The 17,114-nt window shown below is 51.8% G+C and overlaps 1 protein-coding gene across 5 annotated transcripts in view, besides 2 other annotated features; it reads left to right on the top strand.

Moving 5' to 3' along the window:
- SDK2 (sidekick cell adhesion molecule 2) overlaps positions 1-17,114 on the top strand; it is a 310,062-nt gene that overhangs the window by 202,224 nt on the left and 90,724 nt on the right. For all 5 annotated transcript variants that reach the window (XM_047436313.1, XM_011524914.3, XM_011524915.3 and 2 more), the window contains exons 6-12: positions 1,299-1,410; positions 4,068-4,258; positions 4,400-4,483; positions 6,578-6,772; positions 8,374-8,490; positions 10,553-10,720; positions 11,609-11,711. In XM_047436313.1, the coding sequence (XP_047292269.1) occupies positions 1,299-1,410; positions 4,068-4,258; positions 4,400-4,483; positions 6,578-6,772; positions 8,374-8,490; positions 10,553-10,720; positions 11,609-11,711 (970 nt within the window). The remainder of the gene's footprint in view (positions 1-1,298; positions 1,411-4,067; positions 4,259-4,399; positions 4,484-6,577; positions 6,773-8,373; positions 8,491-10,552; positions 10,721-11,608; positions 11,712-17,114) is intronic.
- Positions 3,668-4,168: an enhancer, noted in NCBI's record as "H3K4me1 hESC enhancer chr17:71434193-71434693 (GRCh37/hg19 assembly coordinates)". NCBI's record gives its function as "activates a minimal SCP1, AML or CMV promoter by ChIP-STARR-seq in primed H9 embryonic stem cells {active_cell/tissue: H9 hESC(primed)}" and the evidence as "EXISTENCE:reporter gene assay evidence [ECO:0000049][PMID:30033119]".
- Positions 12,718-12,767: an enhancer, noted in NCBI's record as "active region_12698". NCBI's record gives its function as "activates an Ori minimal core promoter by ATAC-STARR-seq in GM12878 lymphoblastoid cells {active_cell/tissue: GM12878}" and the evidence as "EXISTENCE:reporter gene assay evidence [ECO:0000049][PMID:35858748]".

The raw sequence follows: 17,114 nt of genomic DNA, 5'->3' as shown, positions 1-17,114 counted from the left end.
CTCTTCTCAGCTTGCAGATGTCTGCCTTCCAGCCGTGTCCTCACATGGCGGAGAGAGAGCCAGCTCTGGCCTCTTCCTCTTTTTATAAGGACATGAATCTGAAATATGGAAATATACACACCTAACAAGTACCTGGAAACCTGCTTTCTGAGAGTTTCATCCTTAACTCTTTCATTTCATTCAATGAGAGAATTAAAGTATTACATGCTTTTCTAAGCAAAAGTTGACAATATGTTAAGAGAACATTTTTCTTTTTCCTTGGGACCCTCATTGGCCCTCATGAGGCCCGGCCCTCGTGGCCTCATCTAATCCTAATCACCTCCCAAGGGACTCCTCCAAATGCCATCACTTTGGAGGTTAAGGCTCAACATATGAATGGGTGGGGGACACAGCTCAGTCCACAGCAAAGACCCATGAGGTTCCTGGTCAGGGAGAATTTTAGTCTCTTATGGCCTGCACAACAAAGTACTACCAGCTGAGTGGCTCACAACAGAAATTGAGCCTTTCACAGTTCTGGAGGCCAGAAGTCTGAAAATCAAGGTGTCAGCAGGGCTATACTTCTCTGAAGATTCTAGAGGAGTCTCATTTCTTGCCCCTTCCTGGCTTCCGGTGGTGGCCAGCAATGCTTGGCATTCCTTGGCTTGTGGCCACATCTCTTCACTCTGCCTCTGTCTTCACAGAGTCTTCCAGGCTGTGCATCTGTGTCTCAATTTCCCTCTTCTTACAAGGACACCAGTCGTATTGGATCTTGAGCCCACCCTGATCCAATATGACCTCACCTTAACTAATTACAAACCTGTAATGATCCTATATGCAAATAAGGTCACATTTACAGGTGCCAGATGGGCATGAATTGGCGGGAGGTGTGTTGGGGGAGGGGGCCGGTGACTCTGTTTGACCTCGTACAGAGAGTTTGCATTCTGGTGGAGGACGTGGACAATGCAGAACTAAACCAACAAGGTCAACCCGGGCAGAGGGAAGGATTTGAAGGGAATGGAACAGGACAGGGTGGTGGTGGGGAGAGGGGGGTGTGGCTGCTTTACAGGAGGGGTGGGGAAGGCCGTCAAGGTCAGCGATGTCTCTCCTTGGACCCTGGTGTGGTGACTCATCAACAGAGGAAGTAGAGGGATCAGGTAGTCCCTGGGGTCAGTGTCTGGAGGTCTGCTCTGGGGCTGCCCCCATGGCCACCTGCTCCACTCGGTAAGGACAAAGACCTCCCAGGGCATCAGCCTCTAATGAGGCTGGGCAGGGATAGGATTTCCAGCCTCGCCCCCAGCTAACATCTGATCTCTCTCCAGATGTAGGGGGGCCTGCAGACCCCATCGCACCCACCATCATCATCCCACCTAAAAACACCAGCGTGGTGGCCGGCACCTCAGAGGTTACCTTGGAGTGTGTGGCCAATGCCAGGTAGGTAGTGCATCTTCCCTCGCTCCCGCACCCGTAACTCCAGCTGCTGCTCCCAAACTGCGGGCTCCAGGGAGAGCAGCCAGAAGCCACATCACCTGAGGATCCAGGACAGGGGAGGAGGGATGCAAGGAGACCTGCTGGCTGTTGTCAGAGGGTTGCTGTGTACAACCAGGGCTGGCTTGTTCTCTGTAGCCCAAGAAGAGAAAACCAGGCCCTGGATGGAACTTACAGGGAAGGGGACGTCAGCCTGGGACGTACAGGACTGGAGGGAGGGTGGACTCACTTCTAACCCTTGGAGGAGCCCAGAGGGAGTGGGTGGCCTCTCAAAGCGAGCCCTCTTGCATGCAGGGTTGTGCAGGAGGGAAGTGTGCATGGGAAACGATTCACATGGTGGTTAAGAGTACGGCTTTGGGCGCGATGGCTCATACCTGTAATCCCAGCACTTTGGGAGGCTGAGGCGGGCGGATCACCTGAGGTCGGGAGTTCAAGACCAGCCTGACCAACATGGAGAAACTCCATCTCTACTGAAAATACAAAAATTAGCCAGGTGTGGTGTCACATGCCTGTCATCCCACCTACTCTGGAGGCTGACAGGAGAATCGTTTGAACCCAGGAGGCGGAGGTTACAGTGAGCTGAGATTGCACCATTGCACTCCAGCCTGGTCAACAAGAGTGAAACTCCATCTCAAAAAAAAAAAAAAAAGAGTATGGGCTTTGGAGTAGGGCAGATCAGGGGTCAGGAGCCACCCGAGCCCTTCCCAGCCATGTGCGGCCCTCACCTCTCCCACACAGGAAACAATTATGAAACCCCTGAGCCTCATTATGTGTGGCTAAGTGCCTTCCGTGCCCTGCATCCTGCTAAGCACCTTCCCACAAGACCTCTTTCCTCCCAAAACAATGTATGGCATAGGTGTCACCACTTCAGAACCCAGAGAGGGCAAGTGGCCTGCCCAACGTCACCCAGCTGGATGATAGCTGAGTTGAAATGCACTGCCCCCTCTCCCCCAGGCCTGTACTCACTGCCGCCCTCTGGGCCTCAGTCTCCACATCTGTAAAATGGGAATGATCTGAGCACCAACCCCAGCGGAAGGCGCATAGGCAGCGCGCTGACCCAGCCTGACCTGACCCTTCCTAAGTGCACTATAAAGTTAAACCAATGGGATGGGCAGGGGGTTAGACTGATGATCCCCCTGAGGTCCCCTTGACCTGAAACTTCCTGGAGAGGGAGAGCATGTCCTGTAGCAGCATTTTTTTTTTAAGACAGGGTCTCACTATGTTGCCCAGGCCGGTATCAAACTCCTGGGCTCAAGTGATCCTCCTGCCTCAGCCTCCCAAAGTGCTGGGGTTACAGATGTGAGCCACCGTGTCCAGCCTTTTTTGTTGTTGTTGTTATTTTTGGCAGCATTTCTAAAAGTATGCTCCTCCCATCCCAAGTTTCTCACAGGCATGGCGTATTAGCCCATTTGCATTGCTATAAAGGAATACCTGAGACATGGTAATTTACAAAGAAAAGAGGTTTATTTGGCTCACGGCTCTGCTGGCTGTACAAGAAACATGGCACCAGCATCTGCTTCTGGGGAGGCCTCAGGAAGCTTCCAATCATGGCAGAAGGAGAAAGGGGAGCCAGCGTGTCTTATGGCAAGAGAGGGAACAAGAGAGAGGGGAGGAGGAGCTAGGCTCCTTTAAACAACCAGCCCTCACATGAACTAACAGAGTAAGAGCTCACTCCATCACCAAGTGGGTAACACCAAGCATTGTGGATCACAATTCCACATGAGACTTGGAGAGGACACACATCCAAACCCCAGGACTTGGGCAAGGCCACCAGGGTGCAACTGTGCAGTGAAAGCCCTGAGAAGCCCCTCGATGAAGAAACTGCCCAGCGTCACCTCAAGCTACTGTCACTCAAGCCGCTGTTTCCCAGACGTATGCGGCCACAGAACTCCTTTTCCATGGGGCCCTTCTGAATACCCCCATGGCACTAGCAGGGGCCCACTTTGGAAGATCCGTCCTCAGGGACCCACCAGGTGCTAAACAGGAGTGTCTGGACAGACCCAAGTCTCGGGGGCTTGGGGGTGCAGGGGTTGGTGATGGTGGAAAGCCAGGCCAGACTCACACCCTTGCTCTTCTCTTGCAGTTGGGGAATGGGTTTTTCTGTCTGTCTGTCTGTCTGTCTGTCTTGTCTGCCCTTATTTCCCCTTTTCAAACTCTGGGTGTTTCATGTTTCTGTCTGTCACTTGCCCTCACCTTCATCTCCTCCGTGTCACTGATCTGTGGTCAGATGGGGCACAGCACACAGGGAAGACCAGAAAAAAGAGCTGCAAGCCAGGCTGCTTTCCTGCTTTGCCTGAGCTGCCAAGCCCTGAGTTCCAAGTCCATCAGCAGGCCCTGTTCCAAGCACTTCACTGGCACTAATGCATTCATCTTGGCTACAACCCCCTGGGCGGGCACAGATGCGCCCACTTTATAGAAGAGGAAAGTGAGACCCAGAGCCCTGTGGGAACTTGCCCAAGATCTTGCATCTACAAAGTGGCAGGAAGGTGGCAAACCCAGGCAGCCCGGCTCCCAAGCCCACACTCCTTACCACCCCCTGCCCTGCCTCTCAGGCCTCTGGGAGTCCTCATGGCTGAACACTGGCCTTCCCTTGCCCTCTGCAGGCCCCTGATCAAGCTACATATCATTTGGAAGAAGGACGGGGTATTGCTGTCGGGCGGCATCAGTGACCACAACCGCCGGCTCACCATCCCCAACCCCACCGGCAGTGACGCCGGCTACTACGAGTGTGAGGCTGTCCTGCGCAGCAGCAGCGTCCCCTCTGTTGTCCGGGGCGCCTACCTCTCAGTGCTGGGTGAGAGAGGGTGGGGCTGCTAGGGCTCCCCTGAGGGGTAGGGGCAGCACGGCGAGGGTCCTCCTTAAGGGTGACCCCCTACAGTGGCTGGATCAAAGCGAGCATGGCTCTGACCCCCTCCCCTGGTCCTTCCTCCTGCAGAACCGCCTCAGTTTGTCAAGGAGCCAGAAAGACACATCACTGCGGAGATGGAGAAGGTGGTGGACATCCCCTGTCAGGCCAAAGGTAATGAGGTGGCACCGCTGGAGGGGGACAAAGACCCCAGATCTTCAGCCTCTCCCATCCTCATTGTGGACATTTCTAAATTCCAGCTTCTTCTCGAGACCATGTCACTAGGCAGAGAGTCTGTCTGGCTGTCTGAGCAGGCACCCCAGGAAACAAACAGGCCAAATTACCATAATCTCAGGCTGGAAATCAACCTTTACGGTACCAAAACTTGAGGGTTACAAATGAACCCAACTTACAGTAATTTCAGGACAGGTGACAGACCCAAATTTCCCAAAATTTGAGAGCTGTAGACAATGACAAATTACCGTAATGCCAGAACCAGCAGCCCCCGGGTGCATCTCACCTGAGATGTGTCTTATAAGCTCAGCCTGTTTCCTGGGCCATTTTGCTCCATCTCCTCTGCCAGCTCCCTCCGCTATTCCTACTTAACCCCCCTTGAAAGAGTTCCTGGAGAATTTCTACTTTCCCCTTCCCCACCGTCCTTCCTTCTGATTCATTTCCGCCAAAAGACAGCCCGCAGCCAGGGTGAAATCCGGGATGATAAAGAGAGAAGAGCGTGCACAGTGGGACACGCTGAGCAAAGGGGCAAAATGTGTCTCTGCAGGAATGAGGACTGTGCTGGAGGGGATGAGTAATGACTTCCCTTCTGAGACTCCACAAGGGGAAGGCAAAGATCCATCCATTCAGGCAGCAAATATTTTTTGAGGGCTTACCATGTGCCGATAGTGTCCTCAGGAGTGGGGAGATACATAATAAACCAAACAGCCAGATCCCTGCTCGCGTAGAATGTAACATTCTCGGGAGGGAGATGGGCAAGCTGATAAACAAATAAAGAGAACTTATTTCATCTCATCTAAAATGCCATGGGTTGTAAGATGCCCCATTATTTTATGGACCACTAAGAAAGAAAAAAGGCAGCCAATTAAATTATGACATGCTGTTGATTATAAGACACATCCTGATCTCGGAGACGTGACCATGGGAAAGAGAGCGCATGGTGGATTGGATGAAATGTGGCATCACAGGCTGTCAGGATCAAAGGGTGCCGGGAAGGGAAGGCAAGCAGGCTTAGTGGGGACAGGGCCGTGGGGTGCTCCTTGGAATAGGGTGTGGCCAACTCTTCTGGGGAAGTCTTTTTTTTTTTTTTTTTTTTTTTTTTGAGACTGAGTCTCACTCTGTTGCCCAGGCTGGAGTGCAGTGGCACGATCTTGGCTCACTGCAACCTCTGCCTCCCGGGTACAAGTGATTCTCCTGCCTCAGCCTCCCAAGTAGCTGGGATTACAGGCATGCATCAGCACACCAGGATAATTTTTGTATTTTTAGTAGAGACAGGGTTTCACCATGTTGGTCAGGTTGATCTCAAACTCCTGAGCTCAGGTGATCCACCCGCCTCAGCCTCCCAAAGTGCTGGGATTACAGGCATGAGCCACCACGGCCCAGCCCAGCTGGGGGAACTTATGAAAACAATGTGCCAGGCTGAGAGCGAGGAGAGGAGCCTCCTCCTTTCACCTCCATGTGCAAAGCCGGTATGGGGGGCTTCCAAGTGCCCCCCAGGGAACACTGGACCCTCTACGTGCTCTTCGACACAGGGCGCCATTCGTTTGGGAAAGCATCCCCCACTTGGAGGTTCCCAGAGCACACATACATGTCTGCTAAGTACTGCAATAAAAAATAAGAAATTAGGCCAGGTGCAGTGGCTCACACCTGTCATCCTAGCACTTTGGGAGGCTGAGGTGGGAGGAACGCTTGAAACCAAGAGTTCTAGACCACCCTGGGCAACCTAGCAAGACTCCATCTCTACACAAATAGAAATAAAAAATAGAATAAATAAATTAGTTTGTCCAATCCAGTTTCCATGCTAAACTGATTCCCGGATCTTTACTCTGTCCCAAAGACTTTGAGAATTACCACTCAAAGAGCATCTTCCTCCTCTCCCTAGACCCAAAGTGGCACCTCTGAGAAGGTTCTAGACACCAAGATTCACCAGGGACCCCCTCGCAGATTTCCGGGCCCGGCCTCCTCCCAAGCACCCCTCCTAGGCGGAGAGGAGGCAGGAGGCAGGTTGACGGTGGGCCCACGTCTTGCCCACAGGTGTGCCGCCGCCCTCCATCACCTGGTACAAGGACGCAGCCGTGGTGGAGGTGGAGAAGTTGACCCGCTTCCGGCAGCGCAACGACGGGGGCCTGCAGATCAGCGGCCTGGTGCCCGATGATACCGGCATGTTCCAGTGCTTCGCCCGCAATGCAGCCGGCGAGGTGCAAACTTCCACCTACCTGGCTGTCACCAGTAAGTTGGGCCTTCCCTTGTGCTGCCCGTGAGCCCCTCTTCCCAGGACGCAGCTTTCTTCCAAGGTCTTCCGAGGGGCCTCTTGTGCATAGCACGTTCCATTAAGCAGATAGGATCCCCAAAGGCCGCCTGCTGCCCAGCAGCCTGGGGGCACAGCCAGTTACCGCTGCTGCCTCTGCAGCCCTGAGTCCAGAGCCCTGGAGGAAATCTCTGGTCCCTAGAAGTTCTCTCCAATGTCCTGGGGCCCAGGTTGCGTTCACGGCTTTTTGAGAAAAGGAGCTATGAAACCAACCACGGGTACCAGCTCTGGCACTGCGACTATCCCTGGGTTCCCAGGCAGGGCTGGAGTAACCCCATTCCAGAAGACCTGCTCATGTTTCCAAAGAAGAAAACTGGTGTTTTTCTCTTAGTTCTCCTGCTCGCAAATCCCTTTCTGCCCTTGGAGTCTCTGTCAGGGGTTGCCATAGTTGCCCTGGCCGCTTCCCAGAGCTGTTTTTAGCAATCAAAGGTGATAACTGTGGGCCGGGCACAGTGGCTCACACCTGTAATCCCAGCACTTCGGGAGGTCGAGGGGGGTGGATCACTTGAGCCCAGGAGTTTGAGACCAGCCTGAGCAACATGGCGAAACCTCGTCTACCAAAAATACAAAAAATTAGCCAGGCAGGGTGGCACACACCTGTACTCCCAGGTACTAGGGATGCTGAAGTGAGAGGACCACTCAGGCCCAGGAGGCAGAGGCCAAGATGGCGCCACTGCACTCCAGCCTGGGTGACAGAGTGAGACCCTGTCTCAAAAAAACAAAAGAAAAAAGATGATACTGTGAGTGGCCCATAAGCTCAAAGGTCTGTGTAAATGCAAAGCACTGGTGGGCTCCTCAGGAAGAATGGGGATGTTCAGGGGTCTCCTTGAGCTCCACGGTGTTCATCACCCAGACCCACAGAGGCCGCGGACAGGGCAGCTGTGGGGCAGAGAGCTTGTAGGTGTGCCCCAAAGGTGGCTACCAAGGGGCTGCCGTCTTGCTTCTGGCTTCCAAGTGCAGGTGAACTTAGCTCTGTTCCCACGCCCATCTGGCGAGCTCCTTCCTTGAGGGCTGGGATGGGGCAAGGAGAGTGCAAAGCCAGGAGGCTGCCCCAACCCTAAACGGTGGCCATGGCCGAATGGAGCTCCTGGGGCAGGGCCACTTAGAAAGTGGCAGAAGTCCCCCTCTTGGCTGTGGCTGTTTTTCTTTTAAGAAGCCAGAGCCTTCCTTTCACTTTTGGCTTGTAAACCCCAACAACCTTGTCAGGGAGGATGGGAGCTGCCTCCTGGGGTCTTCAGTTTCCCCCAAATGCAGGCCTGAGAATCCAAGCAGTGTGGGGACTGGTGTCACCTGGGTCCTTCCACAGGGCAGGTGGCATAGGGGAGTCCTCATGACCCCTCCGGGCTTCTTCCAAACACTGGGGCTCCATCAAGATGCCTACATCCTTCCTCGTGGAGGGCCCCTCACCATGGCAGGGGGAGGATGAGGGCCTGGCCCTCGGTGGGCTTGGAGGCCCCTGGCCCTCTGGCTTGGGGGACATCTCCCAGGGTGTGGCTAAAAGGCCCCACTTCTCTGTTTGCAGGCATCGCCCCTAACATCACCAGAGGCCCCCTGGACAGCACGGTGATCGATGGCATGTCAGTGGTGCTAGCATGTGAGACCTCGGGGGCGCCCCGACCAGCTATCACTTGGCAGAAAGGTAGATGGAACACACCTTCAGAGAGTGTGGCTGGGTGATAGCCTAGAAGAGTCTTCAGAACTAGGCTCTGGAGCCAGCCAGGTTGGGTTCCCCACGTACACTTGTGAAGGTCATACACTGTACAACCCAAGAGAGCATCTCTCGGCCGGGCGCGGTGGCTCATGCCTATAATCCCAGCATCTTGGGAGGTTGAGGTGGGCAGATCACCCTGAGGTCAGGAATTCAAGACCAGCCTGGCCCAAAGTGGTGAAACCCGGTCTCTACTAAAAATACCAAAATTAGCCGGGCATGGTGGCAGTTGCCTGTAATCCCAGCTACTTGGGGAAGGGGCTGAGATAGGAGAATCGCTTGAACCTGGGAGGTGGAGCTTGCAGTGAGCCAAGATTGTGCCACTGCACTCCAGCCTGGGAGACAGAGCGAGACTCCGTCTCAAAAAAAAAAAAGAGCATCCTTCACATCCCAGCCTTGCCAGGCTCAAGGTCCAGCTCTTCATCTTCCAAGACCTGCCACCCTGGTGAGTTACTAACTCACTCTGAGCCTCAGGTTCCCCATCTGTAAACTGGTGACAATAATATATATACCCCAGGGTGATGTGAAGACTAGACTATAGCGTGCATGTGAGGGTCCTGCATTATGCCTGGGAGTCCGAAAGCCCAGGAAACGATAGGTGCTTGATGATGAATATTATTCTAGTGGTGGCTGCTGCCAGTCTCCTACCCCAGGCAGCTCAGAGGGCTCCAGATGGCGGAACCAGCAAAGCCCAAGCCACCTCCCTAAGGCCATCTGCCCTGTGTGCTTCCTCTTCACCTCTGTGTGTGCACACTCACCTTCACAACTCTCCCCTGCACACACACACATATGCACACACACGCATGTGCACACACATGCACACACATACATGCACACGTACATACACATGTGCACACATATGCACACACATGTACATACACATGTGCACACACACGTACAAACACAGTTGCTCCTTCACACCGGCAAGCCCCAGCTCAGAGGTGCCTCCTCCAAGGACTCACCCTGCCCCAGCCCCCAGCCCTCCCCTCCAGCCCTACCTCCTTCACTCCCCACCTTCTCATGCATTTGGTCATCGGCTTATTTACCTAGCTCATGGCCTGTCTCCCCACAAAGTCAGGGGTGTCGGTTTTGTCCACTGCCGTCTCCCAGGACCTAGAACAGAGTCTGGCACACGGTAGGCACTCAATAAACATTTGTGGGGATAATAGGGGCACACCTAGGCACGTGCTTACACATGGAAATAAACACATCCACCCAGCACACTCAGTTCACTGTGCCTGCACGCATGTACAAACGGACATGCGACCCCCAGATGGACACATGGAGATTCCCTTCCTTACGGGGGTGGGGGGTTCTTTAAAATAGACATAGTCACAAAGACCTGCATTCCCAGGCTCACTCCTGCAGGTGCACTTGCACTCTCTCTTTCTCCCCCTCTTTCTCTGGCCAGGACCCTCCCAGGCTGGGCCCCAGGCTCCCTGGGTCCCCCTGCAGAAGGAGGTCTGTCCTGACCAGGGCTGCTGCTGGGGGACAGCGTGTCCCTCTCTACCCCACCCCCACTCCAGGCAGCTCCCGTCACTTCCCTTCACTCTCTTGAAGGTGACTCTCCCCAGAAGCATCCTGCCGCAGGATGCCCGTCATCACCTTGTCAGAGCTGTCCCCCCGCCAGCTCCCCCAACCCGGGTGCCAGCTGCCTCTGAGGGCTGTGCCGGGCTACTGCTCACCGTCATCAGGAAACTGCGCCCCCTTCTCTGTTGAAGGGCACGTGGTGTGGCGGGCACAGGAGCATCAGGGGACCTGGGCTCTAGGCTGCCCGCTCTGAGACCCTGTGCCCTCGTGTCCGTCCCTAAGCCAGAAAGCTCTCCAGGTCTCTCAGCCCCCACCCCAGCCCCACCGCCATCTGTCCTCATTCCTTCCAGCATTTCCAGAGCCAGGGGCCTGTGGGGGGACCATGCTGCCCTGGAGCGGCCAGGGAAGGGCAGGGTGTGCCCTTGGGGGCTACAGGCTGACCCCCACCCTGTTTTGCCCTCAGGGGAGCGCATCTTGGCCAGTGGCTCTGTGCAGCTGCCTCGCTTCACACCCCTGGAGTCGGGCAGCCTCCTCATCAGCCCCACACACATCTCCGATGCGGGGACCTACACCTGCCTGGCCACCAACTCTCGGGGGGTCGATGAGGCCTCAGCAGACCTAGTCGTTTGGGGTGAGTGTGCAGAGCCACAGGGCTTTATACATTTGTGTGTGCGTGTGTACATCCCTGTAGGTGCTGAGGACTCAGGACAGCTACGGGGCACAGGCTCATACCACCAGTGTCTCCATCCCCAGTGTCTGTCCCAGTCAGGGCCCTTCTCATCAGAGGGACAGTGACAAAGTGGTTCAGAGGCCAGGGACTAGGAAGATTCTGCCGGTGATGCTATGCTTGGCCGACTTGAGAGAACATTGAAGTTATAGGAGAGCTGCCTTCATATATTTTAGGGCAGAAATCGGCAAATATTTTCAAGAAAGGGCCAGATCATAAATATTTTAAGCTGTGTGGGCCAGACGGTCTCTGTCACAACGACTCAACTAGCTTCCGTTTTATCTAGAAAGCAGCCACAGACGGTATGTCATCCAATGGGCGTGGCTATGTTCCAGTAAGGGTTTATTTAGCCAAAAAGGCCACCTGCCGGATTTGGCCCCCAGCCTGTAGTTAGCCGACCCCTGCTGTAAGAGAGCTTCTCAAGCCACTTCCAACTTTGGATCCACACCCAGCATACCTGTGGGCCACTTGTCTGGGCTGAGCCCAGGGGTCCTGGTGCATGAAGCACTAGACTGGAAATCAGAAAGCCCTATTTTTACCCTGGCTGGACCACTGATATGCTGAAAATATGGTCCTGATCGTCCTTAGAGTTTGGTCTCTCCATCCCATACATGGTTTGTGAGAGCAAAATTTAATGAGCCCCAACTATGACGTGGCTTCCAAGAATTAAAGTACCAGGGAGCTCATTGTTCTTTTTAACCATTTGGGGGCTTTCATATGGTATCCACCCAGAGTCCAGCCACACAGCCCCCACACCTCTTCTCACCATGCTGTCTCCGCTGTATCTTTCAGCTCGGACCCGCATCACCAAGCCCCCCCAGGATCAGAGTGTCATCAAGGGCACCCAGGCCTCCATGGTGTGCGGAGTGACCCACGACCCCCGAGTAACCATCAGGTACTGGCTCTGCTGTTGACTCCAGGCAAGAGGGGAGGGGGAGCCTCTGGCAATAGCTTGTAGCTGGGCGAGTGTCCACATTAGGGAGGTAACAGCTGCAGAGCCACGCCTTCTCCTGGGCAGTGGCATTTCCAGAGCTGAGTGCAGGGCTGAGAGGTAGGGGGTATGAAATAAACACCCGGGAACTGAGCTACCCTGAATTGAGTTAAGCCAGTTTCCAAGGTGGGAGGAAAAGAGGAAGGGGTGCAGAAAGATGAAGTAAGAGGAATGGAGGAGGGGGTGAGGGAGGGGAAAGGAAGAGGCTTGTGGGTTAGTGAGCATGGAAGGGAAGGAGCTGCTGTCTCTGGCCCTGGACGCCACTGCTAGTGTCCCCCAGCCCACCCCAAGTCTTTGGCCCTCTGGCCTCTGAATGGGCAGCAGAGGGGTCTGGGCAGGCGGATATGGGATCAGCTATAGGGGTGGGGCAGGAGATGACCCCTGGGGGGACCCTGCAAGAGAAGCACATGTGGGAAACTGAGCCTCCAAACCGAGGTCACCCCACCATCTTCCATGGCCAAGCCGGGACCTTGGCAAGGGACTTGGCTTCCAGGTAACTCAGTCCCGCCTCTGTGGAAGCCACTAAAAGGGCTGGGAGGAAGCAGCCAAGAAAGGTATAAAAGCCGGGACCCCTCCCAAGCACCTGAACCAAACCCTACCCCCACCCCCAAGGCTTTGGAAGCTAAAACCAGGAGGAGATTGTCCCTGCCTTCTCTTCCTTGAGCTCCAGAATGCTGAGGGAAATGCAACTGCTTCCTTAGAAATAAATATTCCCTGCGTGTTGCTTCTCTATTTTATGAGCAATATCACTGTCAAAGCAACTGGCACCGAGGCTAGAAGGGGCCGGCGCTCCTGCACTGGGAGAAATGGCCTCCTCCTCATGCCGAAGGCAGCTGCGTCCTGGGGCGCCATCTGGTGGCCACTGGACCTATGACAGTCTGTACAGCCACCCCCAAATGAGACTCCGGGGAGCCCAGGTTGGTACAAGGGGCTCCAGGCTTTTGGCCAACACTGATTCTCAGAGAACATATCAGCGGCCCCAGTTTGAGAAACACCTCATGAAGTGTTGACCACTTAAGGCAGTCATCACATGACGCTAGCACAAATGCAAAAATGTACATAGATGTATTAATAGTTAGAAGATTTTTGACTGAGATTCCAGAATATGCTTATTTCTGGGTTTAATAGATTTTTCTTAAAAAATTAACATACCAACTGTAAAAAAGGTCCTGGGAGAGAACCCACATAGAATACTGCTGTGTATCTCGGGCCCATTCATTGTGTAGTAGCTATACTTTTAGCATTCATTAATAGGGAAATTCTGAAATTCAGTATACTTTAAATCAGACTTTATTTATAAAAAAGATGACTTACTTATAAAAAGTGTCAACTTATTTGAGAAAGACATACATTGTATTCATTCTCTAGACAGTTACTGATGCATAATGGGATTCGGGGGTCTCTTGCAAAGTAACCTGCAGACCCACTCTGTAGGCCCTTCCAGTGAACTGCAGGTCAGAAATCCCTGTACCAGGTTACTGAAGGGAGGTCCTCGCCTTAAACGGAATTAACCATCTAGGACCATCTTTTCATCAAAGGGATGATTCTGGGGAGCAGAATCATCCCTTTATCCCCCCCAAAATTGGCAAAGTCTATGCCCAAGGCCACCCCAGCAGCTCCCACCCCAGTCTGTCTTCCTTGGACTGGGGGGACGGGGACATCCCTTCTACCCTCCGTCTTGAGGTAGATCTTGGGGATGGGGTGAGACCCAGACCTCAGCAATTTTAAGAAGCTCCCCAGGTGATTCTAATGTGTCACCAGGATTGAAAACCCTGTTCTATCTGCAAAACACAGCAGGGTTCCCTAAGCAGACTATTAGGTGGGTGCAAACGTAACTGCGGTTTTTGCCTTTGAAAGGAATGGTCAAAACTGCAATTACTTTTGCACCAACCTAATAGAAAGGATCTCAACAACCAAACCAGACTAAAGTGGTGCCGCTGAATCCTGAGTGACACGTCCTCAGAGCAAAGCCAGGTGCAGGGGTGAGGGCCTGGGCGGGTGCAGGTTTCTAGCATGAAAACCTCCAAAATAGTTCTAGAAAAAAACACTCTGGCCAGGCGCCGTGCCTCACGCCCATAATCCCAGCACTTTGAGAGGCCGAGGCGGGTGGATCATGAAGTCAGGAGATGGAGACCATCCTGTCCAACATGGTGAAACCCCGTCTCTACTAAAAATACAAAAAAAATTAGCTCAGCCTCCCAAAGTGCTAGGATTACAGGCGTGAGCCACTGTGCCCAGCTGGATTTTGGCCATTCTAATAGCTGTGCTGTGATATCTCGTTGTTGTTTTAATTTGCATTTCCCTAATGACATATGATGTACAGCATCTTTTCATTTGCCTGTTGGTCTTCTGTGTACCTTCTTTGGTGAGGCATCTGTCAATGACTATTTTTTAATCAGATTGTTTTCTTATTGCTGAGTTTTAAGAGTTCTTTGTAGATTTTGGATAGCAGTGCTTTATCAAAGATATCGTTTACAAATATTTTCTTCTAGTGTGTGGCTTCTCTTTTTATTCTCTTGAAAGTGTCTATCAAAGAGCAGCAATGTTTGATTTAATGAAATCCAGCTTATCTGTTCTTTCTTTCATGGATTGTGCCTTGGGTGTCGTATTTAAAAAGTCATTGCCAAACCCAAGGTCATCTAGATGTTCTCCTGTATTATCTTCTAGGAGTTTTATAGCTTTGCATTTTACATTTAGCTCTGGGATCCAATTTGAGTTAATTTTTGTGAAGGGTGTAAGATCTGTGTCTAGATTTTTTTTTTTTTTTTTTTTGCATGTGGATGTCAAGGTTTTCCAGCACTGTTTGTTGAAAAGACTTCTTTTTTATTTTTATCTTTGTTTTTGTTTTGTAATTGATTTGTTGGAGAAACCAGGTTCTAGAAGACAGAGGTCAGCAATCTTTGCTGTAAAGGACCAAAAAGTAAACATTTTAGGCTTTAAGAGAGCCATATGGTCTTGTCATGACTACTCAACTCTGTTTATAGTGCCAAAGCAGCCATATGTAAACAGGCACTAAGTAAACAGATGGGCATGTCTGTGTTCTAATAAAACTTTATTTACACAGACAGGCAGCAGGCCATAGTTTGTTGATCCTGCTATGGAATATTCAACACTCTGGATTGGCCTGGCTGCTGTCTCACAGTGTTGTTAACCTGTTCTTCTATCCTCTGTATTTATAATTCAATTTCAGTAACTGCTAATTAGATTCATGTTCAATTGTTTTGGCACAAATACTTCACAGGCAGTGATCTCTGCTTCCTAAAGCACCACATTCTGAAGCAAAGAATGTCTGCTTGCCATAGGCTATTTCTTTTTTTTCTTTTTTTTTATGAGATGGAGTCTCGCTCTGTCACCCAGGCTGGAGTGCAGTGGCACCATCTCGGCACACTGCAAGCTCTGCCTCCCGGGTTCACGCCATTCTCCTGCCTCAGCCTCCCGAGTAGCTGGGACTACAGGCTCCCGCCACCACGCCTGGCTAATTTTTTGTATTTTTAGTAGGGACAGGGTTTCACCGTGTTAGCAGGATGGTCTCAATCTCCTGACCTCATGATCCGCCAGCCTCGGCCTCCCAAAGTGCTAGGATTACAGGCATGAGCCACCGCGCCCGGCCCCCATAGGCTATTTCTTACATGGGAATTACTCTCTGCAACTAAATTTGCTTTTAAGTAAAATTCTGCCCATCCTGTGAGTGCTGGCAAGTCCTTTCTAAATAAAGGGATGAATTGAAGGTGATTACTGTTGTTGATTTGTAAATAGGTATTAAAAGACTTAAAAATTAACTCAACGATTTCACTGCTGAGAATTTGTCCTTGAGGAAATGATTTGGAATGGTTGTAAACATTTTGCCATAAGGACCACAGCTTTAACTATAATATTAGAAACCAAGGAGCTAAACTGGATGTCCAACATTATGGGATCGGTTAAATTACAAAACAGCTGTACTGACACATGTGCATCCAATAAAAAATCATGGTGTGGAAATATCACATCAAAAAGAGTTTATGATATTTTTATTGAGTCAAAAAGCAGCTTTAAAAACAGGATGACTGGTCAGGCGTGGTGGCTCAAGCCTGTAATCCCAGCACTTTGGGCGGCAGAGGCAGGCGGATCACCTGAGGTCAGGAGTTCAAGACCAGCTTGGCCAACATGGCAAAGCCCCGTCTCTACTAAAAATACAGAAAAAAAAAAAAAAAAAAAAAAAAAAAAGCCCAGCATGGTGGTGCAGGCCTGTAATCCCAGCTACCAGGGAGGCTGAGGCAGGAGAATTGCTTGAACCCGGGAGGCGGAGGTTGCAGTGAGCCAAGATCGCACCACTGCACTCCAGCCTGGGCAACAGAGTGAGATTCTGTCTCAAAATAAAATAAAATAAAATATAAAAATAGGATGGCTGAATAGATTGCTGTATACCATTCATGTAAATATACTGTATCATTTAAAATATGTAACAAAGGCTAACTGTTACTGACCGCTTGCCGTGGTTCAGGCACTTCTCTATTTTATATTAGCTTGCACAATCCTCACAGCAGTGCTATGAGGTGGGTGGTGTTAGTTTCCTCATATTACAGGTGAGGCAACTGAGGCCTAGCAAGGTTAAATAAACTCACCCAAGGCCAGGCGTGGTGGCTCACACCTGTAATCCCAGCACTTTGGGAGGCTGAGGCAGGTGGATCACTTGAGGTCAGGAGTTAGAGACCAGCCTGACCAACATGGTGAAACCCCATCTCTACTAAAAATACAAAATTAGTCGGGCGTGGTGGTGCTCGCCTATAGTCCTAGCAACTCGGGAGGCTGAGCCACGAAAATCACTTGAACCTGGGAGGTGGAGGTTGCAGTGAGTCAAGACCGCACCACGGCACTCCAGCCTGGGCGACAGAGCCAGACTCTGTCTAAAATAAATAAATTCATTAATAAATTAGCTCACCCAAGATCACAAAGCTGGAAAGTAGCAAAGCCAGCATTTGGCCTGAGAGTCTGACTCCTGAATGCAGCAGTGCTGCAGTGCACTGCCTATCCGGGCGGGGAAGAAGGGTCTGGAAGATATGCACACATTCAAATGTTAATCGTGGTTCCCTAGTATCAGAAAACTTTTGAGTTTTCTTTTTCTTTTCCTTTCTTTTTTTATTTTTCTTACCCGTACTTTTTACTTTTCTGTTGGTTCTGCTTCTGTTTTTTGGGGGGGCTTTTTGTGTGTTTTTGAGATGGAGTTTTGCTGTGTCGCCCAGGCTGGAGTGCAGTGGCACCATCTCGGCTCCCCGCAACCTCCACTTCCCGGGTTCAAGTGATTCTCCTGCCTCAGCCTCAAGAGTA

The sequence above is a fragment of the Homo sapiens genome, chromosome 17 (genome assembly GCF_000001405.40).
Source record: "Homo sapiens chromosome 17, GRCh38.p14 Primary Assembly".
NCBI lineage: Eukaryota > Metazoa > Chordata > Mammalia > Primates > Hominidae > Homo > Homo sapiens.
Note: the sequence above shows the minus strand (reverse complement) of the source record. Positions and strands in the feature narration are given on the sequence as shown.